Source organism: Homo sapiens, chromosome 6 (genome assembly GCF_000001405.40).
Source record: "Homo sapiens chromosome 6, GRCh38.p14 Primary Assembly".
In the NCBI taxonomy this organism is placed as follows: domain Eukaryota; kingdom Metazoa; phylum Chordata; class Mammalia; order Primates; family Hominidae; genus Homo; species Homo sapiens.
In genome coordinates, this window is record NC_000006.12 from 41,576,129 (window position 1) to 41,602,982 (window position 26,854).

The 26,854-nt window shown below is 56.2% G+C and overlaps 1 protein-coding gene and 1 non-coding gene across 17 annotated transcripts in view, besides 9 other annotated features; both read left to right on the plus strand.

Moving 5' to 3' along the window:
• Positions 1-26,256, plus strand: part of FOXP4 (forkhead box P4) — a 56,004-nt gene extending 29,748 nt beyond the window's left edge. For 2 of the 16 annotated variants that reach the window (XM_011514289.3, XM_017010233.2), the window contains exons 3-17: positions 1,858-1,953; positions 8,641-8,763; positions 9,303-9,389; positions 10,881-11,028; positions 11,150-11,384; positions 11,665-11,769; positions 12,516-12,603; positions 13,643-13,726; positions 13,835-14,042; positions 14,143-14,219; positions 15,093-15,194; positions 18,742-18,863; positions 21,048-21,114; positions 21,653-21,822; positions 22,661-26,256. In XM_011514289.3, coding sequence (XP_011512591.1) covers positions 1,858-1,953; positions 8,641-8,763; positions 9,303-9,389; positions 10,881-11,028; positions 11,150-11,384; positions 11,665-11,769; positions 12,516-12,603; positions 13,643-13,726; positions 13,835-14,042; positions 14,143-14,219; positions 15,093-15,194; positions 18,742-18,863; positions 21,048-21,114; positions 21,653-21,822; positions 22,661-22,808 — 1,860 coding nt within the window. In that variant the 3' untranslated portion in view covers positions 22,809-26,256. Of the gene's footprint in view, positions 1-1,857; positions 1,954-2,700; positions 2,819-8,640; positions 8,764-9,302; positions 9,390-10,880; positions 11,029-11,149; positions 11,385-11,664; positions 11,770-12,515; positions 12,604-12,744; positions 12,768-13,642; positions 13,727-13,834; positions 14,043-14,142; positions 14,220-15,092; positions 15,195-18,741; positions 18,864-21,047; positions 21,115-21,652; positions 21,823-22,660 lie in introns of those variants that run through there. The other 14 variants (XM_011514291.4, NM_001012426.2, NM_001405824.1 and 11 more) reach the window with 14 other exon arrangements.
• Positions 2,249-2,872: an enhancer, noted in NCBI's record as "H3K27ac-H3K4me1 hESC enhancer chr6:41546115-41546738 (GRCh37/hg19 assembly coordinates)". NCBI's record gives its function as "activates a minimal SCP1, AML or CMV promoter by ChIP-STARR-seq in primed H9 embryonic stem cells {active_cell/tissue: H9 hESC(primed)}" and the evidence as "EXISTENCE:reporter gene assay evidence [ECO:0000049][PMID:30033119]".
• Positions 2,873-3,495: an enhancer, noted in NCBI's record as "H3K27ac hESC enhancer chr6:41546739-41547361 (GRCh37/hg19 assembly coordinates)". NCBI's record gives its function as "activates a minimal SCP1, AML or CMV promoter by ChIP-STARR-seq in primed H9 embryonic stem cells {active_cell/tissue: H9 hESC(primed)}" and the evidence as "EXISTENCE:reporter gene assay evidence [ECO:0000049][PMID:30033119]".
• Positions 5,409-5,910: an enhancer, noted in NCBI's record as "H3K4me1 hESC enhancer chr6:41549275-41549776 (GRCh37/hg19 assembly coordinates)". NCBI's record gives its function as "activates a minimal SCP1, AML or CMV promoter by ChIP-STARR-seq in naive H9 embryonic stem cells {active_cell/tissue: H9 hESC(naive)}" and the evidence as "EXISTENCE:reporter gene assay evidence [ECO:0000049][PMID:30033119]".
• Positions 7,557-8,136: an enhancer, noted in NCBI's record as "H3K4me1 hESC enhancer chr6:41551423-41552002 (GRCh37/hg19 assembly coordinates)". NCBI's record gives its function as "activates a minimal SCP1, AML or CMV promoter by ChIP-STARR-seq in naive H9 embryonic stem cells {active_cell/tissue: H9 hESC(naive)}" and the evidence as "EXISTENCE:reporter gene assay evidence [ECO:0000049][PMID:30033119]".
• Positions 8,137-8,716: an enhancer, noted in NCBI's record as "H3K4me1 hESC enhancer chr6:41552003-41552582 (GRCh37/hg19 assembly coordinates)". NCBI's record gives its function as "activates a minimal SCP1, AML or CMV promoter by ChIP-STARR-seq in naive H9 embryonic stem cells {active_cell/tissue: H9 hESC(naive)}" and the evidence as "EXISTENCE:reporter gene assay evidence [ECO:0000049][PMID:30033119]".
• Positions 8,717-9,296: an enhancer, noted in NCBI's record as "H3K4me1 hESC enhancer chr6:41552583-41553162 (GRCh37/hg19 assembly coordinates)". NCBI's record gives its function as "activates a minimal SCP1, AML or CMV promoter by ChIP-STARR-seq in primed H9 embryonic stem cells {active_cell/tissue: H9 hESC(primed)}" and the evidence as "EXISTENCE:reporter gene assay evidence [ECO:0000049][PMID:30033119]".
• Positions 16,851-18,209: an enhancer, noted in NCBI's record as "VISTA enhancer hs1100". NCBI's record gives its function as "enhancer in: hindbrain (rhombencephalon)[7/8] | midbrain (mesencephalon)[8/8] | forebrain[7/8] | other[6/8]" and the evidence as "EXISTENCE:transgenic organism evidence [ECO:0001131][PMID:17130149]".
• Positions 22,112-22,696: an enhancer, noted in NCBI's record as "H3K27ac-H3K4me1 hESC enhancer chr6:41565978-41566562 (GRCh37/hg19 assembly coordinates)". NCBI's record gives its function as "activates a minimal SCP1, AML or CMV promoter by ChIP-STARR-seq in primed H9 embryonic stem cells {active_cell/tissue: H9 hESC(primed)}" and the evidence as "EXISTENCE:reporter gene assay evidence [ECO:0000049][PMID:30033119]".
• Positions 22,595-22,660, plus strand: MIR4641 (microRNA 4641). Its single transcript, NR_039784.2, has one exon. It is a non-coding gene; the product is annotated as a microRNA 4641 (primary transcript).
• Positions 22,697-23,280: an enhancer, noted in NCBI's record as "H3K27ac-H3K4me1 hESC enhancer chr6:41566563-41567146 (GRCh37/hg19 assembly coordinates)". NCBI's record gives its function as "activates a minimal SCP1, AML or CMV promoter by ChIP-STARR-seq in primed H9 embryonic stem cells {active_cell/tissue: H9 hESC(primed)}" and the evidence as "EXISTENCE:reporter gene assay evidence [ECO:0000049][PMID:30033119]".

The following is a 26,854-nucleotide window of genomic DNA, read 5'->3' on the forward strand; positions in this document are numbered from 1 at the left end:
CTGGAAGAGGAGAAACATCCTGTCCCCCTCTGGAAGCCCAGGGCACTTCTCTGGGTGTGACATCCAGGGAAGGAGGTGGGGTGGGGGTGGCCTGTGAGGAGCACACCAATCTGAGCTCCAGGTTTGCTGCAGGACACCTTCCCGTCAATAGGCCAGTGCATATTTAGTTGCCCTCCTAGGGTAAACTAGATTTAAAGCCTCAGGAGGCTCGGCTGTTTGCACTGATGATGAACGGACGCGAAGGTGGTTGTGTGTATATGCTTGGTACACAGTGGTCACTCTCTTTGCTTGTTGAGCGATGATGGGTGGTGCAGCCATATCCCACCTTAAAAGGTTTTGCCTTGAAGGTGCTTGTGGTGGGGTAGGAGAATAGGGGCCCATACAGAAAAAACAAGTGTATGTGTGGACAGATGTGAGAGAGAGCCACAGGCGGGCGCATTTCGTCTAATAAGTGCGCAGGGCACGAGGCTATGTTGGGGAGAGGCTGGAGGAGGTGAAGTGGAGAATTGTGGAGAGATTAATGAGAGCCGAAGGGAGTGAATACTTCCCGAATGCCAACTGGATGCCAAACATTGGTCCTTTAATCCCCCTAGTAATTTGGAGATGGGTAGTTTCCCAGTTTTGCAGATAAGGAGACTGAAGTGCAGAGAACTGGAATAACTTGCCCAAGGTCGCAGCTGGCAGGCCGCACAGCTGGGATTCAGACCCAGGACTGCCTAAGGTTGGAGCCCTGTGTCAAGGGCTTAGACACACCTGCACTGGCTCCCAAGGGGGTCTTGAGCAATCTGGAAGCAGATAAATTTTGTGCTGCTGAAATGTGGATTCAGAACTTGCCTTCAAACCTCCCACTGAAGCATAGTGAGGACATAGAGGGCTTGACTGGCCTCATAGATAATTTCCTGGGCCCTCCTGACCCCTCACTCCTACCAGACGTCTCACTGCCCATCAGTTTACCTTCCGGGCCCCTCCTACTCCTTGACTGTCACACTGACCCACTGGAGTGATTCCTCCAGCAATCTCCATATGCCTCCCACTCGTATGACCCCTCTGGCTCAGTTCAGTCTAAGCCACTGTGGCCACCAAGCCCACAGCACGATGGTCCATGCATCTCTGCTGATAGTATACCTTTCAGAACTTAATCTAATTCCTCCAGCAGCATGCATGTACAATCCTTGAACTCAGAAAGTCACACGGTACTCAGACCTTGTGCCACTGACCCCAGGGCTCTTCCCTCATCCTCCCAACTGTGTGCTCTGGCTCCACAGTGAATGCTACTTTTTAGCCCCCAGACTGACCACCCAGTAAGGCAGTTGGCCTTGGAGCCAGGCTTCCTGGGCTCAAATCTTGGCTCTGATGCCGCCTAGCTGTATGATCCTGGGTAAGTTACTTAACCTCCTGGAGACTCCGTTTCCTCATCTGCAAAATGGGGCAATAATCCCTACCTTACAGCCTTACAGAGGAAGATTAAATAAGCTCTTGCCTGTACAGTGCCTGACCCATAGTAGATGCTCAACAAATAGTACTGATTTACTAATGCCCTGAGTCAACCCCCTTTATTTTCCTCTAAGAGTCCCTTTTTGACCATGGGCCCTTCCATTTGCTGTCCCCATTGAGTCCTAACAAAACTTCACTGGGTCCCAGGCTGAGTCTGTAGAGGCTCTGATCCCTGAACCCCAACAGCTCTTCTCAGTGACTTCTACTACCCTTACCCCAAGCCCTTATGGACCCATGACCCTCTCACCCCCAAGACCTTCCACCTTACCCTGATCTCCTTCTCCTTACTGCCCCAAACACTCCCTAATCCCTGGATCCCACCCAGCCTCCCAGGCCATTGCTGACTCAGCCCCTGTCTTGCAGGCTCTCCAAGTGGCCCGGCAGTTCCTGCTGCAGCAGGCCTCAGGCCTGAGCTCCCCAGGGAACAATGACAGCAAACAGTCTGCCTCTGCTGTGCAGGTGAGGAAGAGAGCACCCCGCTGGCTCTGGGTTGGGCTGGAGTGTGGGCCTGGCACAGAGGGAGGGCAAGGACCCGTTGGAGAACTGCTCTTGCCAGTTCCAACACCAAAAAGTGGGCAACTTTTCAAAGGAAATACAGTCACTGCAGGGGTGGGGCAAAAAGGCTTCCCACTTTCTCTCGTCTCCACCTGATCAGCCAGACCTTCCGCTAGCTTAGCCTCTTTGTCCCTGTCACTCAAAGTTTGTCTGCAGCTCTCCCTGTCTCTTTGTACCTCTCTCACTGTTTGTTCTCCCCTGCCTCTTCCCTTCAGGGTCTCTCTTGGTCACTTCTCATGTTTCTGCGTCCCTGTCGGTCACTCCCTCTGTCCCTCTGTGTTCCTGTGTCTGGGGCTCAGCCCCTCCCAGGCCATCTCTGTTGCTGCAGTCACGTCACCAAGTCCCCCCTTCTCTTATCCTCCCCCCTTATCCCTCATCCACCAGCTCTCTCGCAGTCTCTCCATGCTTCCTGTCTCTTGATGTCTCTCTGTCTCTTTTGTTTTCCTTTGCACAATCTGCCCTTTTTTCCCCTTCTCCCTTCCCTCCAGCTTGCCAGCCCATCTGGCTGGCTGGGGGAGGGGAGATCTGTGGGGGGTGGGCGGGGGGTGGGGGAGCCAGGCCTTCTGTTTACCTTTTGTGTCACAAAGAACTTGGGAGAATTGCAGTCTGAGTCCGGGTTGGGTCACTACTCGGGCAGCCACTCCCCTCCCCCTCTGCCCAGCAGCCCGGGATCCATGCTCCCCCCACCCCTCCCCCAGCAGAGGGAGGCTCAGAATTGGGGAAGGGATTAAGCCAGGCTTTGAAAGGAAGTTTATCTAAGGGAAGAAGGGTGAGTATGGTTGGTTCTGAGCTGGAGGTGCTCTGGAGTCTGGGGCTGGGTGCTGAGGGAAGTGAAGAGGAGGGTGGGGTGGGTGCAGGGTGCTCAGAGAAGGACCCAGGACCAGGCTTTGTCCTGGGTGGAGATTCCAGTGCTCTGACAAAGTCTGAGTTTTATGTAAAACAAGTTTATGTTTGGAAAAAGTTCAAGGTGCCCAACAGATGTGCAGCCTTAACAGTAACCCTCTTAAAATTCTTGACCCTAAGGAGACAACCCTCAAAGGGGAGGAGCTGGGCAAAGATCAGGGCGTGGCCTGGGGTGGAGGAGGGGAAGACACAATCTGGAAAGTCAATAAAGAGAGGAAGAGAAAGATCTCATCAGAATGAGATCTAAAAGGTTCTCATACCCATGCTGGTCAGGATTGGGCCTCTTTAAATTAATGATCCCCACATACAATCCCAGGGTTTGAAGTGGTCCTTGGGCTTCCACTCTGAATCCTGCCCGCCCTGGACCCAGCTTAGAACAGGAAGGAGTAGGCTGGACAACAGCAAACGTTCCCCCAAACCAGAAAGGGGCTGCTGACCCAGGGGTAGGAGGGTAGGAGCTTGATGGTAGTGGGAGGGACTGGGGTAAGACATCTAGAAGGACTGCTCAGCTGGGGATTAAGGGTCACAGATCTGAAATAATTGAGAGCTGAAGGGAGACTATGGAATCTTCCTTAGGAAACTCCCTCCCTCCAAAATAAGAGAGGCCTAGAGGTTTCAGAGTCAGAAAGACAGATAAAATGATGTTTTTCTCAGGCCTTCTCTCTCCTTGTCTCATTACTTCCAAAAATTCATTGATTGATTCATTCATTCATTCAACAAATACTTACTGAGTACATCCCAAACTAACAACTGACATATACAGAGTGCTTACCATGAAGTGTAGACACTAAGCGCTTTACAGCTATCTCATTTATCCTCACAGTCCTATGGGAGAGGTGCTATTCTAGCCCCATCTTGCAGATGAGGAAACTGAGGCCCAGAGAGGTTAAGAAAGTTGTCCAAAGTTATACAACAAATAAAAGACAGAGTGAGGATTTGAACCCAATAGCTCCAGAACTCACACTTTTTTTTTTTTTTTTTTGAGATGGAGTCTCTTGTTGCCCAGGCTGGAGTGCAATGCCGTGATTTCAGCTCACCACAACCTCTGCCTCCCGGGTTCAAGCAGTTTTCCTGCCTCAGTCTCCCAAGTAGCTGGGATTACAGGCATGCACCACCAAGCCCAGCTAATTTTGTATTTTTAGTAGGGTTGTATTTTTAGTAGGTTTTAGTAGCGTTGTGTTTTTAGGTTTTCTCCATGTTGGTCAGGCTGGTCTCAAACCCCCAACCTCAGGTGATCTGCGCGCCTCTGCCTCCCAAAGTGCTGGGATTACAGGCGTGAGCCATCGTGCCCGGCCAGTAGAACTCACACTTTTAATCTCTGCATTGTGACGATCCCTTGTGCTTGGCACAATATTGGTAATAATGCCAATATTTCCCTGGTGTAGAAGCCTAGGCCAGATGGTTCTCAGGGTCTCAGGGATATGGGGGTTCTTGGGGCCATGGAGCCATGCTTCCCCAGGAGCCTGGATTCCCTACCTATATTGATCCCTCTATTTCTTCTCCAACCCTGAATACCTTCCTTGCCTTCTGCCCCTATTCCTAAGTTTATTATCTCCAAGGAGGTCAGATCCTTGTCCTGAAGTAGGGCCCAGGGCCTTGAAATGTTCTTCTATGAGCTCAAGATTGGTGAGGGGATAGGGGAGAGCAAGGACTGGGCTCCCCACCCGAGCAGAAGAGTGCATCTTGAGCCTGAGTGCAGTGGATAATGAAGGGAGATCAAGCGCAGCTCCTTTCCCAGGGCTCCCCACAGAACGCTGCTCTGCTCCCCAGCAGGATTTTCTGCCCACGCACCTCCCAGCCACGTTCACCATCCCTCTCCTCCAGAGCCAGCTTCAGAAGAGTTTCCAAAACTATTGTCAGGTCTCCAGCTCCAGCCTAGTGAGGGGCCCTCCTTCCAGGCCTGGACCCCACCAGGGAGAGACCTATCATAGAAGGCAGCACAGGTGGCCGAGAGTTGAGGACATGATGGGGGCAAAGGTGGCTGGGGCCTTGGCTTCGTCCATCCCCATCTGGCATTTTCAGAAGTTCTTCTTTATATCTCACTGCTATCTTTCCTTGCTGCAGCTGCAGCCCAGGATTAGTTTGAGGACTTCTGGTCATTTGCAGGAGAGTTTAAGCCAAACCAAACTCTGGCCTGATCTCCCCACATTGCCCCCCACTCACAGGGACCCCATACTCAAGAGACAATTTGGGTTCTTGACCCTGGCACCAAATTGCATTCGTTCCCACTCTCAGCCCTCAAATAAGCTTCCTGTGTGTCAGGCACTGTCCCTGTTCCTTCCAGTCAGACCGTCCAGCCGAGCACGCTGTATTCATGGGTGGGTGCAGGGTCCCTGAGGGAGGGGCTGGAGGCAGCTGCCGGCGTTTGGCCCAGGGCTCACACTGCCAGGGCTTAAGTTAGCACTTAGCTGCCCAGCTACTCTCCAGATGGTGACTCATGGGCCCTGCTGAGCCTGCTAGCTGCAGAGCGCCCATCCTGAGGCATCTGAGCCTGGCAAGGGGCCAGCGGGACACCAGAGGAGCTCCAGCTCAGTTCTCAGACCCCCAAGGGGCACAAGGAGAGGTGGATGAGGTCAACCAACTCAGGAGATCAGCATGCGGCAGCCACTTCCCAGACCCTTTGTGACCCCAGTGGGCCACCTCGAGACGAGTGCACACCATGTAATCCATCCAGATCTCTGTAGCAGCCTCCATAGGCAGCTGCTCAGCCAAGTGGCAGGAAAAGCAAGTGCCAAGGAGGCCTTCCAAGGTCATCTCTTCCATTCCCCTGCTTCCAAGGAAGAAAGGCCCGAGGAAGGAAAGGCCACATCCTTTTTTCACATGCTCCTGTCAGTGACTCACAGTCCTGGTGCCTGGAAAGATCTTCTGAGTGTCTGGTCTCAGTCTTTCCTGTTGCGGGCCACGTTCGTCTCTAGTTCAGCTCTCACAGCAGTGAGAATGAGTGGCCTAGTGCCTTGGTCCTCAGTGACCTTTGTCAGGCAGCACCCTAAGGCACACCAGGGGAGGAGACAGAGAAGGAGGGGAAAGGGAAAATCCAGAATGTTTTAAAAAGTGATTTTCTTCACGTTTACATAGAATTTAATGGCGTACAAGTCACTTTCACCCCTGCTCCCACTGTCCCTTCCGGGTCAGGGTCAGGGCAGGTTATTTAACCTCTCTGGGCCTCAGTTTTCCCATCTCATCTGTGAGATGTTAATGATGATGGCACCATCCTCACAGGGTTGCCGTGAAGATTCCATGAGATACACGTGTAAAGGGCTTAGCCAAGTGCCGTGCTGGGCACATAATAAGCAGTCAGCAACGTCTGCTAATGATGCAGGGAGGGCAGGTGCCCCAAATCCCAGTTAGCCGACCGGGAAAGTGAGGCTTGGTGATTTCAAGGCTAGTAAATATCAGGGACAAAAACCAAGGTCACCTGACCCAGAAATCTAGGGCTCTGAGCTCACCTGCACCAAGATGCCTCTCTTTGTTGGGCACCCCCTTGGGAGGAGGAAAGAAAGGACAGTGGTACTTGTTCCATGTCTTTGGATGGCAAAACCCACCTTCTTTGAGCAGCCTCCCCAGCTGCCTCTGGAACACCCAACAACAGACTTAGGGGCTGGCTCTGGAGTTGGGTCTATGCCGTTGTCTGCCTCCAACCCCAGGCCCACCACATCCACCCCTGCAGCCTGGCTTTCAGAGAGTCCTTCTAGGATACAACCGTAGAGTAGGAAGTTAGCCTTTGGGATCTCAGCCTCATCAGCCCCCTCAGCCTCCGGACGTCCCACCTCCACATTCTCTCCCTAACCCTTCCCAAGACCTGCCCTGCGGTGGGGCAGGCAGCATAGGATGTGAAAACCCTGGGAGCTATGGAGTATGCAGACCTCAGCTTACATCCCAACCCTGCCACTTAAGGCCACCAGACTTTCCTGGTCTCCTCATTGGTAAAAATGAGGTTAAAAAACAACAACAACAACAAAGAACAAAAAACACTCCTAAGGGCATATCCCCCACTGGCTTAGAGGTCTCTTGGAGCCTTCATTCACATGGTATGCCCATGACTAAAGAGCTAGGTGTTACCCCTCCCAGGCCCATGTGGATAGAGATGGGCTGGGATAGGGGAGTAAAGCCCAGGGGCAGGGACAGCCGCCAGTGATGGGGTGAGCGAGAGGTGTTGGGAGCCATGGGATTCCCCAATGTCCTTGGATTCACTGTACCTCCCTGGTTGCTTCTCTGCCTGGGGATTTCCTAATCCATGGCTTAAGGGGTGGTTCAAGGCTGAGTCCTGCCTCTGCCAGGCATTGAAAAGAGATCCAACTCCTCCTCCCCTACCCCACAGGTGAGGCTGAGGCTTGGGAGAGGGTCCCCTGAGGACCTAGCCTGTCACAGCCTAGGACAAGTCCCTACACAGCACTCCTCTCTGACTGGGCTAGCCCTGTAACCTTCCCTTCCTGCTTCCGGGCTGGCAGAGGGGCCTCTGAGGTGCCAGGGAAGGCATTTCAGCTCAGGGGGGCTAACACTTAGTGTACCTACCATGTGCCAGGCACTCTGCCACAACTTGGGAGTGAGAGAGGAAATTAGAGAAGAGTCCTGTATGCATGGGGTCACAGAGTGGAGGGGGCGGCAGACAGCCCCATCAGAGCACCTGTCCTGCTAATACAGGAACAAGACAAAATAGCAGCTGAGACCTGCCTGTCCATGACTGCACAAGCCTGGGGGGTTCAGGGGAGGTGGGGCTGGGAAGAGAATGATGTCATTGCTTTTCTCTGAATCTTTTCCCTGTAGCTGGATTCTTTGGGCCTTCTATAGAGGCCTGACCCAGGGCAGGGGGTAGAAAGCTGTTCTACTTTGAGAATCCTGAATGTTCCAGCCTAGAAGGAATCATCTCTTACAGCATAGTCTCTTATGTTTTATGTTTGAGGAAACCGAAACATAAGAGAGGGCAAGTGACTTGCTAGAGTCACACAGCCAGCTCAGTGCAGAGTTAGGAGCGGAAGCCTGCCCTGCTAACTCCCTGCCTGCCATTCTTCCCACCCCACCCTAGACATAGCTACACACATGCACACACATTAGGACCAGGATGGCACCAAGAGCGCTCTGTGGGCTTCACCTCTGGCCACTGTGTGTGCCGTCCAGGCAGGTGTGCCGGGGTGTGTGAGAGGAGACAAAGTGCAGGTCCTCGTGCAAGGTGGGCCACGTTTTGAATCCTTCCCATGCTGTAGACTGCCCTCCCAGCCAGGCCTACCTTGCAGGAAGTGGTCTCAAAATAGACTGCGTGAGACTATGGGTGGCCTGGTATGCTGTCCCTCCCCATTACTGGGGGGAACCAGCCAAAGCATGGGTTCTACTGACCAGTGTCACTACAGCCTAATCTTCCTGCTCTAAGGACAGCCCGTCCTATGATAATAGCCAACCCTTATGTGCACTTGCTGTGTGCCAGGCCTTGTTTTAAGTATTCACTGATTAGTCCTTATGGTGACCTTAATAGGTAGGTACTATCACTGTTTTCGTTTTAGAGATAAAGAAAACAGACAACAGGAAGGTAAGTCACTGTCCAAAGAGAGAGACAGCCAGCAGGCAGCAGAGCCAGAATTGGAACCCAGGCAGCCTCCCTGGGAGCCACTCTGCCACGCTGAGAGTGGGGCCCTGGGTGGTGCCTCCTCCTGGGTTGGGGTCCAGGGGACAGGGCTAACGGGCCGAATCCTGCAGGTGCCTGTGTCGGTGGCCATGATGTCGCCGCAGATGCTTACCCCGCAACAGATGCAGCAGATCCTGTCGCCCCCGCAGCTGCAGGCCTTGCTCCAGCAGCAGCAAGCCCTCATGCTCCAGCAGGTGAGTCTGGCCCCAGGGCAGCTGGTCCCTCCTCCTCTGCCTGGCCTGGCTCCTCCCACCCTGTTTACACCTCACCAAGGGCCCAAGCTGTCCCAGAAACCAGAGAGACTGCTCAGGCCAGACTGATCTGCATTCCTCTAGGGTAGTGGGGAGAGGTCAAAGGTCAGGCATCTCTTATGGTGGCCCTGCCCCCACAATACTCCCCGGTCCTCCCTCCCTGCATGCTGGCCCCACTTCTATCTCCTGAACAGGGAAGGGCAAAGTACTGGAACATTCTGGCACGTTGTCCCCTGTGACCTGCTCAGGAGATCCACCAAAAGCAGGGAGGGTTCAGAGCTGTGGGAATGAAACTCCTCCATCCCTTGCTCCCTCCCTCCGCACCCAGACCCTGCTCAGGGCCCCTCCAGGCTGACTGGGGAAAGCCAGACCATGTTTTAGGGAAACTCCCTTCTCCTGCCCCCAGGAGCCCAGATGGGACAGGGCTGGGGTTGTGGGGATAGCAGTACCCTGCCAGTGGTAACCCTCCTCCACCCCCCCAGCTACAGGAGTACTACAAGAAGCAGCAGGAGCAGCTCCACCTGCAGCTCCTCACCCAGCAGCAGGCTGGGAAACCGCAGCCCAAAGAGGTAAGGGGCTGTACCAGGGCCCACCACCGCCCTCACCCCCTGCCCAGAGCTGGGTGTCCAGAGCTGGTCAGGAGGGAATTGCCTTGCAGGAATAGTAGAAAAATCTAGAAAAGGCTGAGGAAGGGGACCAAGGATCAGTGTGGGGGAAATGGGGATGGTGGTTCTTACGTGTCTCCATCTCCCCTCATCCCCATTCATTCTTTCTCTCCTTGCCTCGTGTTGTTGTCTCTGTGCACATGGGTGTAGACAGGTGTGTACGTGTCACCCCCGTGTGTGGTGTCTGCCGGGCCACGCTCATGTGCCTTGTGGTCGCACCATCTTCCTGCCCCCTTGTCTCTTTGTGACCCAGCACCTCAGCCCTCCCCTCCTTGTCCTGCGAATCTCTGAGTCCCTCAGCAAACCACCTCCCCTTACCTCAGCCTGCCCCCAGCTTCTTCCCCTTCTTCTTATGACTTGCCCAGCCACCCCTCGGTCTCCTCTCAGAGCTCCCCAGCCTACATCCCCTACCCCATCGGAGCTTCTATACCAGGCCCTGGAGGCCCTTCTCCCCTGGGTCCCAGACCTGTGCATCTCTCCTGCTGCCCAACCGCAGCCCCAAGCTCTAAGTTTCCTCTTCCCAGAAGGCTGCCCTGACACCCAGGAATTCTCCAGCACCCCCAGTCTCCCCCTCAGCAGTCTTGTAATTGCTGTGTTATCAGCAGGTAAATCTCTAGGCTAAGTTTATCCTGTGTCTCTCTATTGAATAGCCAGCCCCCACCCTACCCCATGCTTCCCACCCCCAGCAGGCAGGCAGAGACATCTCTGCCTCTCAACCCACCCAGGACATGCTTGGCTCATGGGGCTCAAGAGAGACTTGCTGACAGCCTGACTTGTCAGTGCCTGTGTGAAGAACTGAATGGGTGGGGGTAGGTAGAGTGGGTGAGCCAACGAGTACAGGGCGCCTGGGCAGTGGTGATGTGACTGTTCTCCGAGCCTGGGTCCCAGTGAGTCCCGTCAGACTCCTTGATTCTCTGTATCTAAAAAGCAAGAGAGGAAAAGAGCTGGGGGAGAGAAAACTCCCTCCCCAGAGCAGAAGGGGGCACCCCGGGCATGTGGGAAGGGTGCCCTCCAGGCAGGAGTGGCCCCCAGAATCTGACAGGCTCATCGATCATTGTGATGAGGCACCCCCAGGCGTGCACAGCTGCGGTGCAGGGAGCTGAAGCAGCGGAAGGAGGGAGGCGGGAGGAGGGAGGGCGTCGTGCTGCGTGTCTGGGTCTGGCTGTGTGTGTTTGCGCGCGTGCGTGCGTGCGTGCATGCGTGTGTTTACTGCGAGGAGGCATGCAGCCTTATGGAAGCTGGGCCGGGAGCAGAGACACTGCAGCTGCAGACGCCACAACGACAGCTCCAGGGGCTGACAGGCCCTGGGAGGGGGTGGCCGCGGGGTGGGGGCCAGATGGCATGCCTGAAGCTGATGGCACCCCTCTCTGCCCGCCCCCTCGGGCCCCTCACCAGGCACTGGGGAACAAGCAGCTGGCCTTCCAGCAGCAGCTCCTGCAAATGCAACAGTTGCAGCAGCAGCACCTGCTCAACCTGCAGAGGCAGGGGCTGGTCAGCCTGCAGCCCAACCAAGCCTCGGGGCCCCTCCAGACCCTTCCGCAAGGTGAGCACCCGCCACTCCTCCCCTCCCAGCCCCAACCCCACAGCCCTGCCTGTACGCAACAGCTGGCAGCCCCTGTTCTTGGGGCCAGGTAGAAAGCCGAGTGTTCGTGGGGCCCTGCCAGCCTCCCCTGTCTCTCCCACAGCAGCTGTTTGCCCAACAGACCTGCCCCAGCTGTGGAAGGGCGAGGGTGCCCCCGGGCAGCCTGCCGAGGACAGCGTCAAGCAGGAGGGGCTGGACCTCACTGGCACGGCCGCCACCGCTACCTCGTTTGCCGCTCCCCCCAAGGTCTCACCCCCCCTCTCCCACCATACCCTGCCCAACGGACAGCCTACTGTGCTCACATCTCGGAGAGACAGGTACAGGGGTCCAGGCTGGGAGGGGCATCAAAGGCCTGCCTGGGGGTAGACCTGGCCCCCCACCCATGAGGGCTGACTGTGAGGGAGGGGGTGGAGCCCACGGACCGGAGGTTCACTCCCTCTCCACTCCCTCTCCCGGGGTGTACAGATGGTGCTTGGCCGCTGGGAAACCTGTATTGGGGCAGAAATGTCACCAGCAGGGGAGCTGGTGCTCAGCTGACTACAGGGCCGCTGGGGTCTTCAGGGTCCCTGATCGGCCACCTCCCTGCTGTCCTCCCAGCTCTTCCCACGAGGAGACCCCCGGCTCCCACCCCCTGTACGGACACGGAGAGTGCAAGTGGCCAGGCTGTGAGACCCTGTGTGAAGACCTGGGCCAGTTTATCAAGTAGGTGTCACCCCCAGCCCCTCCCCCAGCAGCCTTTCCCCACAGGGCCTCTCCCCCAACCCTGCCCACTAGCTTGCCCCTTCTGGGAGCCCTCCTCACTAGCTGTACTACTGTCCTCACTCCAGAGGGTTCTAGTTCTTTCTCTGCCCCCCACGGACTCCCTGATCACCCACTCCCTACCCTGTCTATATTTCTGGGCCTGCATTCCCCTGACTCCATCCCCAGCGCAGGGTGCGGGTAGGAGAAGGAGAGGACAAACATAAGCATTACTCCTCCCCCCACCCTCCCCTGCTCCCCTCCAGCCTCAGCCCCGGGGAGTGATGGCGAGTGACAGGCTGAGGGCCGCAGACAGGCAGGGCGGGAGGTGGACGGGCGGCTGGCAGCAGGCGGCCAGCTGCCACAGCCGTGCCAGGCTCTGTCACTGACTGATTAACTCCGCTGTCTCCCAGACCCTTGCAGCATCAGGGTCAAACAAATTGTTTTCACGCTTCGTCAGAGGTTTACTTAATTAGTTCATTTGCAATTAGATCTCTCTGTAGCTGGGATTTTAGCAAAGACATCAAAGGAGGCTGACGAGAAGGGAGAAGCCTTCCTCCATTGCCCCGTTTTTCCACCTCTTTCTCTTCTTTGTATCTCTTGGTCTGTCTGCTTTTCAGGCCATGGGTGGGATTAGAGGATAGGATGGGAGGATGGTGGCAGCAGGGAAACCGGAGCCAACTTTCTCTCCTCCTCTCTTCCCCTTGAAGACACCTCAACACAGAGCACGCCCTGGATGACCGGAGTACAGCCCAGTGCCGGGTACAGATGCAGGTGGTGCAGCAGCTGGAGATCCAGGTGTGGCCCGGAAGATGCTGGGGAGGGACATGGTGGGCTCCAGCCCCTGCCCACCCACAGCACTGACTTGCTAGGTGGGCTCTGTTGGGAGGGTCTCATGGAAGGGTCCTATGGTCAAAGCCACCATCTTATGCTTTCTAGGTCCTAATGACCATGGTTGTGAGGTGAGGACAGCTGGATTCTGAGGGGTAAACCAAGGTTGGGGGCGTCTCTGCTGGGAGGTCCAGAAGAGACTCACGCTACATAGAAACATCAAAAATAATTATTAGCAGCTAACATATGGAGCACTTACTTTGTGCTGTGCTAAATACTTTATATAGCTCAAGGAATCCTCTCAACAACCTTATGTGGTGGGTACCATTATTCTCCCCATTTTCCAGATGGAGAAAACAGGCACACAGAGCTAAAGTAACTTGCCTGTGAGTGGCAGAGCTGGGATTAGAACCCAGGCAGCCTGGCTTTCCCAAGGGAGTATCCCAGCTACTTGAGAGGGGACACTCAGCAGCACAGGGTTCCCAGGAAGCAACTCAGGGCAGCTCCTCTGTGCTTACCCATCTCCCTCCAGCACCTAGCAGAGCATCCTGCTGTGAGAGGGTGGTCATGAGAGACCCATTGAGTTTATGAATGGGGTGTCTGAGCCATTCATCAGTTCCTGCATCTGCATTCAGTATGCAAGGCCCTCACACACAAGTGCCACTGCACAAGGCACAGTGGCCGCCCCCCCGTGGGTGGGTAGGAAGAAGCCTCCCAACATGTAGAGGCAGGGATAAGCTCCAGCCAGGACGCACTGGGAGGGCTCAAATGGTCACCATCCAGGGGAGAAAGGGAGAGGCTTCATGGAGCTGGCAGCCCTTGAGGGGTAGAGCATTGCTGAGGCCTCCCTGGAGCGGGTCACAGAGGGAGCATGGATGCTGAGGCAAGGAGGCGAATGGGGGTGGGAATCGGCGGCCTTCTGAAGAGCCTGGCGGTGGAGGGGTGGGACAACACTGCCTCCAGGGTTCAGCCTCCCGCTCACCTCCTGCTTTGCCACCCTCCACAGCTCGCCAAGGAGAGCGAGCGGCTGCAGGCCATGATGGCCCACCTGCACATGCGGCCCTCGGAGCCCAAGCCCTTCAGCCAGCCAGTGAGTGCTGCTCCCCTCCCCGCCCCTCCCAGAGCCTTCCACAGACCCTGGAGCCTCGGGACCCCCACCCTCGGGCACTGGTCTCAGTACCCTCCCCGTTGCTCACAGCTGAACCCGGTCCCCGGCTCCTCCTCATTCTCCAAGGTGACCGTCTCTGCAGCAGACTCATTCCCAGATGGTCTCGTGCACCCCCCGACCTCGGCCGCAGCCCCTGTCACCCCTCTACGGCCCCCTGGCCTGGGCTCTGCCTCCCTGCATGGTGGGGGCCCAGCCCGTCGGAGAAGCAGTGACAAGTTCTGCTCCCCCATCTCCTCAGGTGAGGGTGGGCTGGGGGCTGCAGGGCGACAGCAGCGTGAGGCTGTTTTTCCCATCTGAGCCCCATATCTGGCTACCTCATCCTCTGCCTGTCTCCCCAGAGCTGGCCCAGAATCATGAGTTCTACAAGAACGCCGACGTCCGGCCCCCCTTCACCTACGCCTCCCTCATCCGCCAGGTGAGCAGGGCAGGTAGGAGGAGGGTGGGGAATGGCACACAGGCTGCTCCCCCAGCCCCCGCCACACCCCTGCCTCCAGGAAGGTCCTGGGGCCAAGCAATGGAGCTGTCCCGCTCCCTCTCACGTGGCGGTCTTCCCTCTCTGCTGTGCGGGGCTCTCCTGCAGGCTGGGCCCTGTCAGCCTGCTGCATAGGGTTATGTGTCTCTGGGGGTGCACACACTGTTCTTCTTACTGACACCCACCGTGGCATTCATGTGCTCATTTCCACGTACACAGCCCGCCATGATAGACTCAGGGTCACTCTTCGTCTCTCTCCTTTGTCTTTCCTCCCTCAAGCCCATGATCTTCATGTCACCAATGTTCACATAGTATTCACACTCAAGCATGAACTTACATCGACACATATGTCCTCCCTGATACCCACACAGGCATGTACACCTTCACACACATTCTTTCTGTCACACACACACTGTGCTTAGGGTACCTTTTGCCAAAATCAGGATAAATTCCAAACAGCCTCCACCCCGTGGACATCTCTCCCAAGAAAGACAGGACTGACTGCTTTCACCCTCGGTGCAGGGCCAGGTACTAAAGGCATTTTCTCTCCAGAAGCAGCTCCAATCCTTCTTGTACAAATACATAGCCCTTGGAGGCTCCTGCCCTCTTTATCCTTGGCCAAGCTATAACCAGCCTGTCCCTCTGAGGGGACCCACCAGCCACCACCCATCTTGTTATCCACACATTTCTGAGCAGGTCTTCTCACAAAGTGAACTCGGGGCTAGGCAGAAGGGAGAGGTACTGGGGGAGGGAACCCAGGGCTGTGACCCTTCGAGGCCCAGGCTGACGGTCCCTTTGCTTGTTCCTTCCCCGCAGGCCATCCTGGAAACCCCTGACAGGCAGCTGACCCTGAATGAGATCTATAACTGGTTCACCAGGATGTTCGCCTATTTCCGCAGAAACACTGCCACCTGGAAGGTGAAGCAGGCCCCTTCCACCTTCTGGGCCCCAGTCACCCTTGGACCTGCCATATCCCATGGAGACCAAGGCTGCCTAACAATTAGTTCCCTAAACCATTAGTCCTGCAGAAACAGCCACCCAAGGGCCCAGCCAGGGCTGCATGCCCACGCCCACCTCAGCAGGGGCTGTGGATTGTTCCATAACCTTTTAATGATCCCTTCCTTCCAGCCTGGTGCTGCCTCCTTTCTGGGAAGCAATCCTTCTCTAGGGTACACCCCCAAGGGCCCCAAAGACGCCAGCCCCACGAGGTAGGGCCTCTAGGAATTGCTAATGCCCAAGCTTGATACAGAAGCCTGGGCCGAATTTCACAGAGACCCTAAGGGTCTGGATACCTTGGCTTAAGGTACATGTTCTGAAGCCTGAGGTGGGGCTAGGAAAGCGCAGGTATAGACACACGGATGGACCAAGAGCCGTGGACCACACATTGGGGCACTGACGGCACTCACAGCCCTCCCCAGCTCTGCCATCCCTGGCAGGAAGATAATTGTCTCCATCCAATTAGTCATTTCAACACCTTCAGCCATAAGTTTTCCTGGGAGAGCAGAAGCAGGCAAGAGGGGGACTCTAGAAAAATGGGAGACAGATGCTGGGGTACTAGGCCATTTATTTTTCTATAGCCAAAAGGGGGGTGTGTGTGTGTGTCTGTCTGTCTGTCTCAAGGTGGGAAGGTGATATCTAAATTGGGAGAGTGGGCGGGGCGGGGGGAAGAAGGAGAGAGTGTTCGCCCCTGCAGGGAAGGTTAGACGCGGGGAAGGACTCCCTCTCAGAACCTTAATTGGATCCCTGGCTCTTGAGTCCCCCTGCTGGCCACTGAAGAAACTGCAGTTAAACGGGCTACCTCCCCCAATCCCACTAGGTTTCAACAAGTGTTACTGAACCCCTCCTCCCCACCAGCGCCCAGGACTTGGTGGGGTCTGCACAGTGCCTGCCTACCCTTTGCCCTGGGATTATGCTAAGTGCAGCAGAAGGGACTGCATCATGACTTTCATATGCTCATACCCAATTCCCAAAGCTTGGGAGAGAAGCTGGGAGGCTGTTGGGACAGCTGCTGTAATTGGCTGTGAGTGATGTCATTTTCTGCCAACCACATTCCTGCCCTCTTTCTGAGCCAGCAGGGCTTGCTTGGGACCACCTGGTCCAGTCTCCAACCTCCAAGTCAGTTCAGATACCAGGTTTTTATAAATGATAGAGTCCTACAAACATAAGGGATGATTATAATTATTACCTAATGTTTAATAAAGCATATTAATCTTTTGCCTTTAGGGGTAGTAATATAGAGCCTCCTTTCCATAAGACAGCCTCCTTTTTGGGGGCAAAGTACTGCTAAGCCACCTACCTTCCTTCCTTCCTTCTGTCTTACCTGTAATGCCCTGCTGCAATTTTCTAATTCTCTCTTCTCTTGAGGTCAGGTTAGGTGACCTGGTTTAGGTGACTTCCTTAAACTACTCAGTGACCATCCTGAAGCCACCCCCCTGATATTCTAACCCTGCCGCCCTTGCCCAGCCCAGCCTTTCACATCTCTGTGGTGTGTTCCTCCTAGTTCTTCACCCCCATCTCCCCTCACCTAGTCTAGGGTCCAGTAAGAAGCATCTGGGCTGGGGAAAGTGAACGACTAAGTGGGTGACTTTGCCAGTTAGCAGTGTTCTGCTGCTGCCTCTGTGCCTGAGGCCACTGCCTGAGCCTTCCTCATGGCACAGCAGAATCCATCCAGCTTGAGGTCCACTTTGACCTTCTGGTTTTTTTCAGCCAAATGCATTCATGTTACTTGGGAAATACACCATCTACACCCAACTCTGCTTCCCTTCCACCTCTACTTTCCACTCATTTCTCAGCCCCTCAGGTCATCTCTGCTCCTCTCCCGAATTATTTGTGCTTTCTTCTTTCCCTTCTTCACCTTTGCTGGCTCCCACCCTGAGATACTTTCCACCTCAGACCAGGGCAGAAGGGTTGGGAGCGGGCATGGTGTGGGCCCAGCCAGCTGCCGTTCATCCAGGGACAGAGCTGCCATCTGCCAAGCTGATGGTCCTTGCTGGCCCTCCCCGTGTCCATCCCCTCCCAAGGCCCGTGTTGTGGGCCCGTCCTTTTGTTTACGAAGCCCCTGCCAGACCCCTTAAATTGCCGTTAATGTTTCAGCGTAACGAATTAGTCTCTCATCACGAATCAGGCTTCGAAATGAGGGAAAAAAGCCCCGGTGAGGCCATCCTCGGAAATTGGGGTCATTCTCATTTGCAAAGCGGAGGATCGGAGCCCCGTAATGCGGGCAAATTTATTCCGAGGCAGGAGCCCCGGCGTGATTAGGCCCTTTGTAATTATCGCTCCAAGAGATTCCACTCCAGCCGCCCGCCTCCCTCGTGGATTAGCAAGCGAGTCGGAAAAATACACAGGATTTAATTAGAGGCAAATTAAAATTGGTAATGAAATCGGGCCAGTTGCAAGTGGCAAGAGTTGGAAGGGAGAGAGGGAGAGGGATCTCCAGGGGCACGGGCTGCCTGCCCTACCCGCTTTCTTCCCCGTTTAGAAATGTAAAGAGGAGACAAGGATGGGGACGAGGCGGGGGAGGCTAAGGGAGGACAGGTAACAGGGTCCAGGGATGCAGGCAGGGATGGTGATAACTGGGAGCTGGCCGTGGGGGCAGCACAGCTGAGAGAGGAGGGTGCAGGGACAGGACTGAGGGACACGATGAGGTGGGGCAGACTAGGGCCCTAGTCCGGGCTCCCATGGTGGTGAGGGGGGAATTGGGCCAAGCACCCCGCCCTCGCCCAAGCGTCCTACAAACCAGATGACCTCAATTCTTGAAGTTATCCTGCCAGGAGGAGGTGGGACAGACAAGGTGACTTATCTTCTTTCTCTCCTCTTTCTGCCTCTGGGTTGTCAACCCACACTCTCCTCTCTCCCTGTTTATTTCAACAAGTATGTATGAGGCCTTTACTGTATACCTTGTGCTCTCAAAATATAAGCTGCCTGTTCTGAGCCACAGCCAAAGCATGGCTCCCAGACTCCTGTGGGTCAGTGGAGGTGGCAGTGAGGGTTTATGAGCTCTTTCCCAAACTTTTAAAAGCTTTGTGGAAATTCTGCATGCAGCTGAGATGAAGCATCCTGGGCTCGCAGAGATGCCGGGGCCCGAATGTGATCTGCTGCTGATCCAAAGCCCTGAGTAACAATTACATGTGTCTTTGATTAACGAAGATGATGAAACAGATTATTACTAACTGGATAGCATTTAGTTAGTAGACAGAACTTTCCAAGATGTGGCAGGGAGAGAGGAGGCAGCTAATAAAATGGGTCATCCATGGTGAAGAGGCTGGGAACCCCTGGCTCTATGGAAAGGGTAGGGGCCCGCCTTCCCTTTGGCTGGGTCTCCTCCCAGCCCACCCCCCTCCCCTGCTCATCCCTGAGCTGGGGAAGGTGGGCCGCTGCTGCGTGGGACATGGGATGGGATGAGGACTATCATGTTTGTGCTTGGCCAAGCAAGCCGCCTCTGAGCTCCTCTTCACTGCACCCACAGAACGCCGTGCGCCACAACCTCAGCCTGCACAAGTGCTTCGTCCGCGTGGAGAACGTCAAGGGTGCCGTGTGGACTGTGGACGAGCGGGAGTATCAGAAGCGGAGACCGCCAAAGATGACAGGGTATGTGGGTCCAGAGCTGGATGGGCTGTACCTGCCCAGGGGGCAGGAGCCAACTCACCCCCACCCCCTACCTCTCCAGGGTACACATGTGCACCAGATCCTTCCTGGCTGGGGGAAGGGGTGTGGGGAGAAAGGAGCAGAGGAGACTAGTGCTTGGGGACAGGGGGCTGGAATCCGGAAGTGATGGATAATCAGAAGGCAGACATTTATGTCCTCTTCTGTCCTCACTCTGACTGAGGGAAGGGGCCAAGAAGGAGGCCTGGTAGCAAAGAGAGACAGGGGCCCCAAGTAGCCCTGGCCAGAGCTGGCACACAGGCAGATGCCAGCCAACGGGCCATGGGTGAGGGGCTGCCACCCCCAGGGCACCCGCTCTCTCAGCTCATCAGGATGACTAGACCTCTGAGGTCCCGCGACCCCACCAATTCATCTTACGGCAGAGGAGAGCCAGTGAGGGCCAGGGGCTGGCAGGAGGCCCCAGAGCAGATTTGTGGCAGAGCTGGTTCCAGGACCAGGTCTCTGCCCTCCTGGTCTTTTGTGCTCAGCTTCACTTCACCACCTGGCATTTTATTTATTTACTTATTTATTTATTATTTTTTTAATTTTATTATTTTATTCATTTATTTTTTTTGAGAAGGAGTTTTGTTCTTGTTGCCCAGGCTAGAGTGCAATGGCACGATCTCAGCTCACTGGAACCTCCACTTCCCGGGTTCAAGCAATTCTCCTGCCCCAGCCTTTCGGGTAGCTAGAATTACAGGTGCCCACGACCACGCCCGGCTAATTTTTTTTGTATTTAGTAGAAATGTGGTTTCACCACGTTGGTCAGGCTGGTCTCGAATTCCCAACTTCAGGTGATCCACCTGCCTTGGCCTCCCAAAGTGCTAGGATTATAGGCGTGCACCAGCGCACCTGGCCTATTATTTTTTTGAGACAGAGTCTTGCTCTGTTGCCCAGGCTGGAGTGCAGTGGCACGATTTTGGCTCACTGCAACCTCCACCTTGTGGGTTCAAGCGATTCTCCTGCCTTAGCCTCCCGAGAAGCTGAAATTACAGGCGCCCACCACCACACCCAGCTAATTATTTTACTTTTGGTAGAGACGGGGTTTCACCCTGTTGACCAGGCTGATCTCGAACTCCTGACCTCAGGTGATCTGCCCGCATCGGCCTCCCAAAATGCTGGGATTACAGGCGTGAGCTACCGCACCTAGCCTCCACCTGGCAGTTTAAACAGAAACTGAGGAGCCTGGGACAGGGTCAGGACCTCCCTTTGGCTTCCACGTAGCAGCAGTGGCCTTCTCCCGACCTCAAACAGCCCCACCCCAGCCACCTGCTTGCTGTGCCCCTTGGGCCAGAGCCCCTGGGTAAGGAGAGGAGAGCAAGTTAGATGGATGTCTCTGAGGTGTGGGGTGTCTGCTCCCCTCAAAGATGCCTGCTTACCAGGCAGGAGCCTTTGCACCCCAGGCAGTGTGCAGCCTGGAGAATGGAGGGAAGCCATCCCCTGGTGAATGCCTAGGGGCCAGTCTCCAGGCCTGGCTGCGCTTGCACCTCTGCTTCTCACCAGTTTGGTGACCTTTGGCTGTTTCCTTAAGCTCTGTGAGAGCTCTGTGATGGTGTCATCACTGGAAGAGGGACAGCCCCCAGCCACTGCTTTTCCTGTCCCAACTCCCGAACACCTTCCCGTGCAGAGAAGCCTTCTGTATGGAGGCTTCCATACAGAAGCCTCCATGTGGGACAGGCTGAGCATATGTCTGACATGTCCCAAAATCTAGGATGGCAAGACAGTGTGGGCAGACCAGGTGTGTAACTACTGAGACTATAGATTAGACCTTGCCAAACATTGGAAAATCTAGACCGGAGAGAAAACGGGTGGGGGGGCAGCATGCTGTGAAGGCAGACACTGGGGGGATGCCAGTTCCCACTTCCCAGCTCCGAGACCTGGACAGGTCCCTGAACCAAGCCCATCGCACCCACCTGTGAAGGGGCTGCTCCTGCAGGGCCAGTTGAGCGTGAAGACCGAATCAGACCAAGTACACACACAGCTCCAAGACAGCGGCTGATCCGCCCTGGCCTCCCGGAATAGGGAATGGGACCCATTCCCAGCACAGGCCGTTACTTAGTGAGAGTAAAGAGATGCGAATGAAGAGCTAAGTGAATGAGTGAGCCAAAGATGGCCTTCTCTGTCCTCCAGGAGCCCCACCCTGGTGAAGAACATGATCTCTGGCCTCAGCTATGGAGCACTTAATGCCAGCTACCAGGTGACCTGCCCAGAGCCCACCCACTCACCTCTACCTCCCGCCCCCTTGCTTTCTCATACAAGAGACCCCCATCCTCCCCTGCAGAGGACTCACCAGAGGAGGGAAGGAGGGTGAAGACCCAAACTCTCCGAGACCCCACCTCTCTGCCCCACCCCAACTCGGGGCCAGCCTCCACCTCTGCTTTCAAGGCTGGGTTCAGACAAGGCAGGCAGCTGGGAGGATGGCATACCTATAGCATCCCCTTTCCTGGTTTGTCAGTCTGGGGGTTCTCTGTTCCCTGGGAGAGGGGATAAGCCAGGCCCAGGTTCCAGGAAAGCTAGGAGGTAGGAGGTCGGGGGGTCAGAGTTCCAGCCATGGGGGAGGGGTGCTACATTCAAAGGCTGAGTTGGGGCTTGGGGGTTGCCCAGACAGATCCGCCCGTGGGGCCAGTAGGCAGACACACAGGCAGCTCTCTAGTGGGCGGGGAAGGCACAGCACTTGACTGAGTGTGCCCCATCCTGTGGAGCCACTGACGAGGCCCAACCCTGTGCCCCTGCAGGCCGCCCTGGCCGAGAGCAGCTTCCCCCTCCTCAACAGCCCTGGCATGCTGAACCCTGGCTCCGCCAGCAGCCTGCTGCCCCTCAGCCACGATGACGTGGGTGCCCCCGTGGAGCCGCTGCCCAGCAACGGCAGCAGCAGCCCTCCTCGCCTCTCCCCGCCCCAGTACAGGTGAGCACACAGCACGGACCCCCACCCACCCCAGCACCCCTCAACCACCAGGGAGGAGGCGTCATCCCCCACCCTGGGTGGGGTTCCCCATCCCACCCCCACCACGCCTCTCCCCAGGACAAGTGGCTTCTCTCTTCCTTCCCTCAGCCCTCTCAGCCCTCCCTTGTCCCACCTGCCTGTTCTTATCCCCTCTCCCCACCTCCCCACCTTCCCACCTTCTCCTCCCCATTTTCCCCCTTTCTTATTTTTCCTCCTCCTCTCTTCTCTTTTTTTTTTTTTTTTTTAAGACGGAGTCTCGCTCTGTCACCCAGGCTGGAGTGTAATGGCAAGATCTTGGCTCACTGCAACCTCTGCCTCCTGGGTTCAAGTGATTCTCCTGCCTCAGCCTCCCAAGTAGCTGGAATTATAGGTGCCTGCCACCATGCCCAGCTAATTATTTTGTATTTAGTAGAGAATGGGGTTTCACCGTGCTGGCCAGGCTGGTCTCGACCTCCTGATTTCAGGTGATCCACTGGCCTCGCCCTCCCAAAATGCTGGGATTACATGTGTGAGCCACCTCGCCTGGCCTCTCTTCTATCTTTCTTCTCCTTCCTCCGTTCGCTCATCTCCCCTCTGCTCCCCTCTTCTCTCCTCCCCAACCCAGAGCAGTCTCTGCCCCAGGACCAGCTTTTCTTTGAAGAGAGCCCTAGGGGAGATCAGCCCTCAGGTCTGATGGGATCCTGGGGAGGGGGCTGTGGGCACCCCACTGTGCCCCAGAGTTCTGGGTGAGTTTGGGGGGCAGGGGGCAGAGGGCATCAGAGGACAGCCGCCTGGTGCCCATGCCATACTTTTGCCTCAGCCACCAGGTGCAGGTGAAGGAGGAGCCAGCAGAGGCAGAGGAAGACAGGCAGCCCGGGCCTCCCCTGGGCGCCCCTAACCCCAGCGCCTCGGGGCCTCCGGAAGACAGGGACCTGGAGGAGGAGCTGCCGGGAGAAGAACTGTCCTAAGGGCCTGTAGTGACCGGCAGGGCTGGGGTGAGACCCCTCCCTTCCAGAATCCAGGCCCCATCTCCCCCAACTCCACAGCCCCTCCCGAGCCTCAAGGCAAGTCCAGGACTCAGACCGGGGAGGCCCGGGCCAGCAGCTCCCAGTGTGACCTGACAAAAACACGTAGGGGCAGGGACGGTCCCCACCCCCAGGGACACAACCCCTGGTCTTGGACCAGTAGAGGACACGGAGGGTTCAGACCCCTCCTCAGACCCTCCCCACATCTGAAACTGCCTCCCCCCAACCACCAGCAGCAGCAGGGCCCTCCTCCCCCACCAGCTCTCCCCACAGGGCCCCTCAGCATCATGGAGACCCGCAGGCGGGGCTTAGCCACCCCTCAAACCCAGGGCCCCCTGGCACCTGGCTCTGGCCGTGTTTTCTGGCCAGAGGCCCCCACTTTCCTAACTCGTGCTCCCTTCCGCCTTCTTTTCCGTACTGTGAAGAAAGAACTCTCCACCCCAGCTCCCACCCTGCCCTGGCCTGGGTGGAGGAACTGTGCCTCCATCCCCAGAAGAAACAGCCCCCTCTGCTGCTGGGGTGGGACTGTCTGTGTGCCCTGTGGGGGTCCGTGTGAGCAGGCCCACCTGGCTCCAGACCCGCCCCCAACCTGAGACAGAACCAGGCTGAGCCAGGCCTCCACCCCCACCCCCGTTTGCTGGGGGCTCCTCCAGCCGCCCCCATGGGAAGAGGCCTGGTACCGCCTCACCCACAGAGGTCTGTGCCAGGTGCGCTTCTGCAGGTGGAGCCAAGCTCTCCCTGAGGCCAGAGGCGGGGCCTGGGCCGGGAGCCCAGGGGAAGGCCAGGCTGGACCCCGGCTCCACACCCACATCCAGCCTGCAGGCCTCTCTGCAGTCCTCTCACCCTCCCTCAGCTCCCCTTCCTCTGCAGTCACCCTCAGCTCCCCTTCCTTGCCCGCCTCTCCCCCCGCCGCCCCACCAGTTAAACGGATGACCAAAGACCTTTCTTATGCCGGAAGCAAAAACCAAAACTTTTTGTTGGCTTTTTCCTTTGTCGCCTCCCCAGCACCTGCCCTCCCAGTCTCCCACCCCGGCCCCAGGCTGGAAGCCCTCCCTCCACTTAAGTTATTGTTTTAAACCAAAGTTTACAGTGTCTGTTGGTGGCCAAGACCTTCTCTCTCCACCCCTCCTCCATCCACCCTGAGGACCCTGGGGCTCAGTGGAGGCAGGGCCCTGCCCCCCTCCCTTCCGCTCCTGCCCAGCCTGGGGGAAGGAGAAAGGAGGGGAGAAAGCGGGCTCTCACCCCCTCAGGAGTGGGCACGGGAGCCCTTCTCCCTGACCCTGGGCTGCTTCCTGGGGGCTCTCCAGACCCCTCTCTAGGACCAAGTCACCCGTCGTGCTGGGAGTGTGGATTCTAGCAAAAGAGCTGGAAAAAAGTCAGACTCTCCACAGACCCCCTATGGGGGACCCCCAACTCAAGGCCAAGGACTGGGCGTATCGGATGCTCATAACACCCCTGGCCTGGCCCCTTTACTGAGAAGACTCCTTGGATATTTCCCAAGAACCCCCCACATACACCCCTCACAAGCCACCCCTCCTGAGAGGCAGGGGGCCCTCCGCCCCCTCCCCATGTATTCCCCACCTGTGTTCCGTTTGACCAGCACAGAAATATTAAACGTCCTCTATTCACCGGGCCCTGTGTGTGTCACCGAGGTGCGGGAGGGGAGGAGCATTAAAGCTGAAAGATCGCTCTGCTCGGGGAGCCTGGGCAGAGCAGCAGCAACGTGAGGGTCGCTGTGGTGGTGGTTTCTGTGAGTGGATGGAATGAGCAGCCCTGCAGGGGCGCTGGGCATGTGCCCTCACTGTGGACAGGGCCCACCCACCTCCGGTTCCCCTGTGCCTCCTGTCCCTTCCACGCTTAAACAGGGTTCTCTGTCATTTTCCTGTTTTCTTCCAGAGTCCCAATCCTTTGCCCTAGTTCTTTCACTAGTTTGAAATCCAAGTTCTTGCCAGAGTGTTGGAGCAAGGCAGCTGATTTGCTGCAGGGATGGAGAGGACCACCGCCGCAGGGTTCTTTTACCTGTGCCACCAGCTCTGGAGACATCCACACCCATTCCCAGGTGTCCTTCCAGGCCCATTGTCCACGTCTTCAAGGGGGCTGCCTGGATAGGCGTGTGTGTGTGTAGTGCCCAGGTGTGGTGGTGGCATCCTGAAGCAGTAGGACCATTAGTGTGCGTGCACACCCACGTGGCACACTGTGTGGTGACCATGGTCATCATAGTGGGCTCACGGCGGAAACGGGATCATTCAACCTATACAAAGGGGACCCTGGATAGGCTGCAAGGAAAGAGGCCAAGGGCCAAGCTGCTAAGCCAAAGATGGCCCCTGACACCTCCCCCAGCCCCAGCACACCAGCCTGCACCTCTTATCCCGTGTTAAGTCCTGGTTCCCCACCTGCTGCCCCTCCTCAACACAGAGCCCCTCCCGCCGCCTCAGACCCCTGTGCACATCCCCAGGGCCTCAGCCGTCTCATTGGTCTTTATTTTTTATTTTTTTTAAGATGGAGTTTCGCTCTTATTGCCCAGACTGGAGTGCAGTGATGCTATCTCGGCTCACTGCAACCTTTGCCTCCCAGGTTCAAGTGATTCTCCTGCCTCAGCCTCCCAAGTAGCTGGGATTACAGGCGTGCACCACCACGCCGGGCTAAATTTTTTTGTATTTTTAGTAGAGACGGGGTTTCTCTATGTTGGTCAGGCTGATCTCGAACTCCCGACCTCAGGTGATCCGCCAGCCTCAGCCTCCCAAAGTGCTGGGATTACAGGCGTGAGCCACTGCACCCGGCTCTCACTGGTCTTACGCCACCTTCTGGACACTCCCTCCTTGAGGGCAGAAAGGAGTCCCAGGCCTGTCCCTAGGGACAAGGCCCAGGGAAGAGTGTATTTGGGGAGCAGGGGAGGGGAGGGTGTTGAGAAAGCTGAACTGGAGTCAATCACCCTTCCCACAAATCACCAAACTGCTGGAACTCTCCAGCCAAATGCTGGGAGAAGGACCTGGAGGGTGAGTCTTTGCTGACCTCTCTCTACTCTCAGGCATGTCTTTTGTCCTTTTCGTCCATCTATTTCTGTCTGTCGCTCACTCGCCCCGCTTTCTCTGTCTCACCTTCATCCACTCTGCAGGCCTGCTCCACCACAGCCCTAATCCTCTGGACGCTTGTGTAGGGCCTGGGGTGAATTCCCTGTCCCCCATGGTACCTCGAGAGGGGCTGGGGAGCTCAGCTTGGTCTCAGAGTCTCCCCACCAGATACTGTTTAAAAAAGTAGCACTGATGTGTTTTGTAATCTGCCCCTCCCAGCCCTCCGTGGAGGCTGCCAGGGCCTTGTACGGTAAACCTAGCTGCATGTAATCTGTGGACAATGGCATTCTCTACAATGCAATAAAAACAATTACCCATGATTTTGCTGCGGCCGCTTCCCCTTTCCCCTTCTTCCCCTCCCAGCTGGGACCTACCAGAATGCCCCAGAGAATCCTTAGGTGTTGGCTGCCAGTCTCCCAGCCCCCTTACTCTGCCCCCTTGAAGAAGTAGTCAGTTCTGTGGACCAGCCCCGGGGGCATTCTTCCTATGCCAGACTCTGGAGGGACAAGACTGCACCTAGCTTTATTCTCAGGACCGTCCTTCCCGCGGTCTAACTTCAGTTTCTCCTGCTTCAACTAGAGTCCTCTTTTTATTCCTCTCACAGGGATATAGTGAATGGTCAGTGCATTTGCAGGTGGGGTGATGATCTATTTTGGACACTGGTACAGGAGAGGGTCTTGCAATATAAGAAACAAGAGCTGTTATGAACCACCACCTTCTGGGTGCATTGGGCTTATAGACTCAGTAATTTATTTTCTTCCTGATCTGACATCCTACATGGGGCAGCCCTCCCACAATTATTACCTTATTCGAAGTATGAACCAACATGTCCACCCCACCCCCAACCCCCATCACGCTTTGCCTCAGGAAGCGCTGCATGCTGGGTATGTAGCTTCTCTCCTTTCTACTGTTAACTCA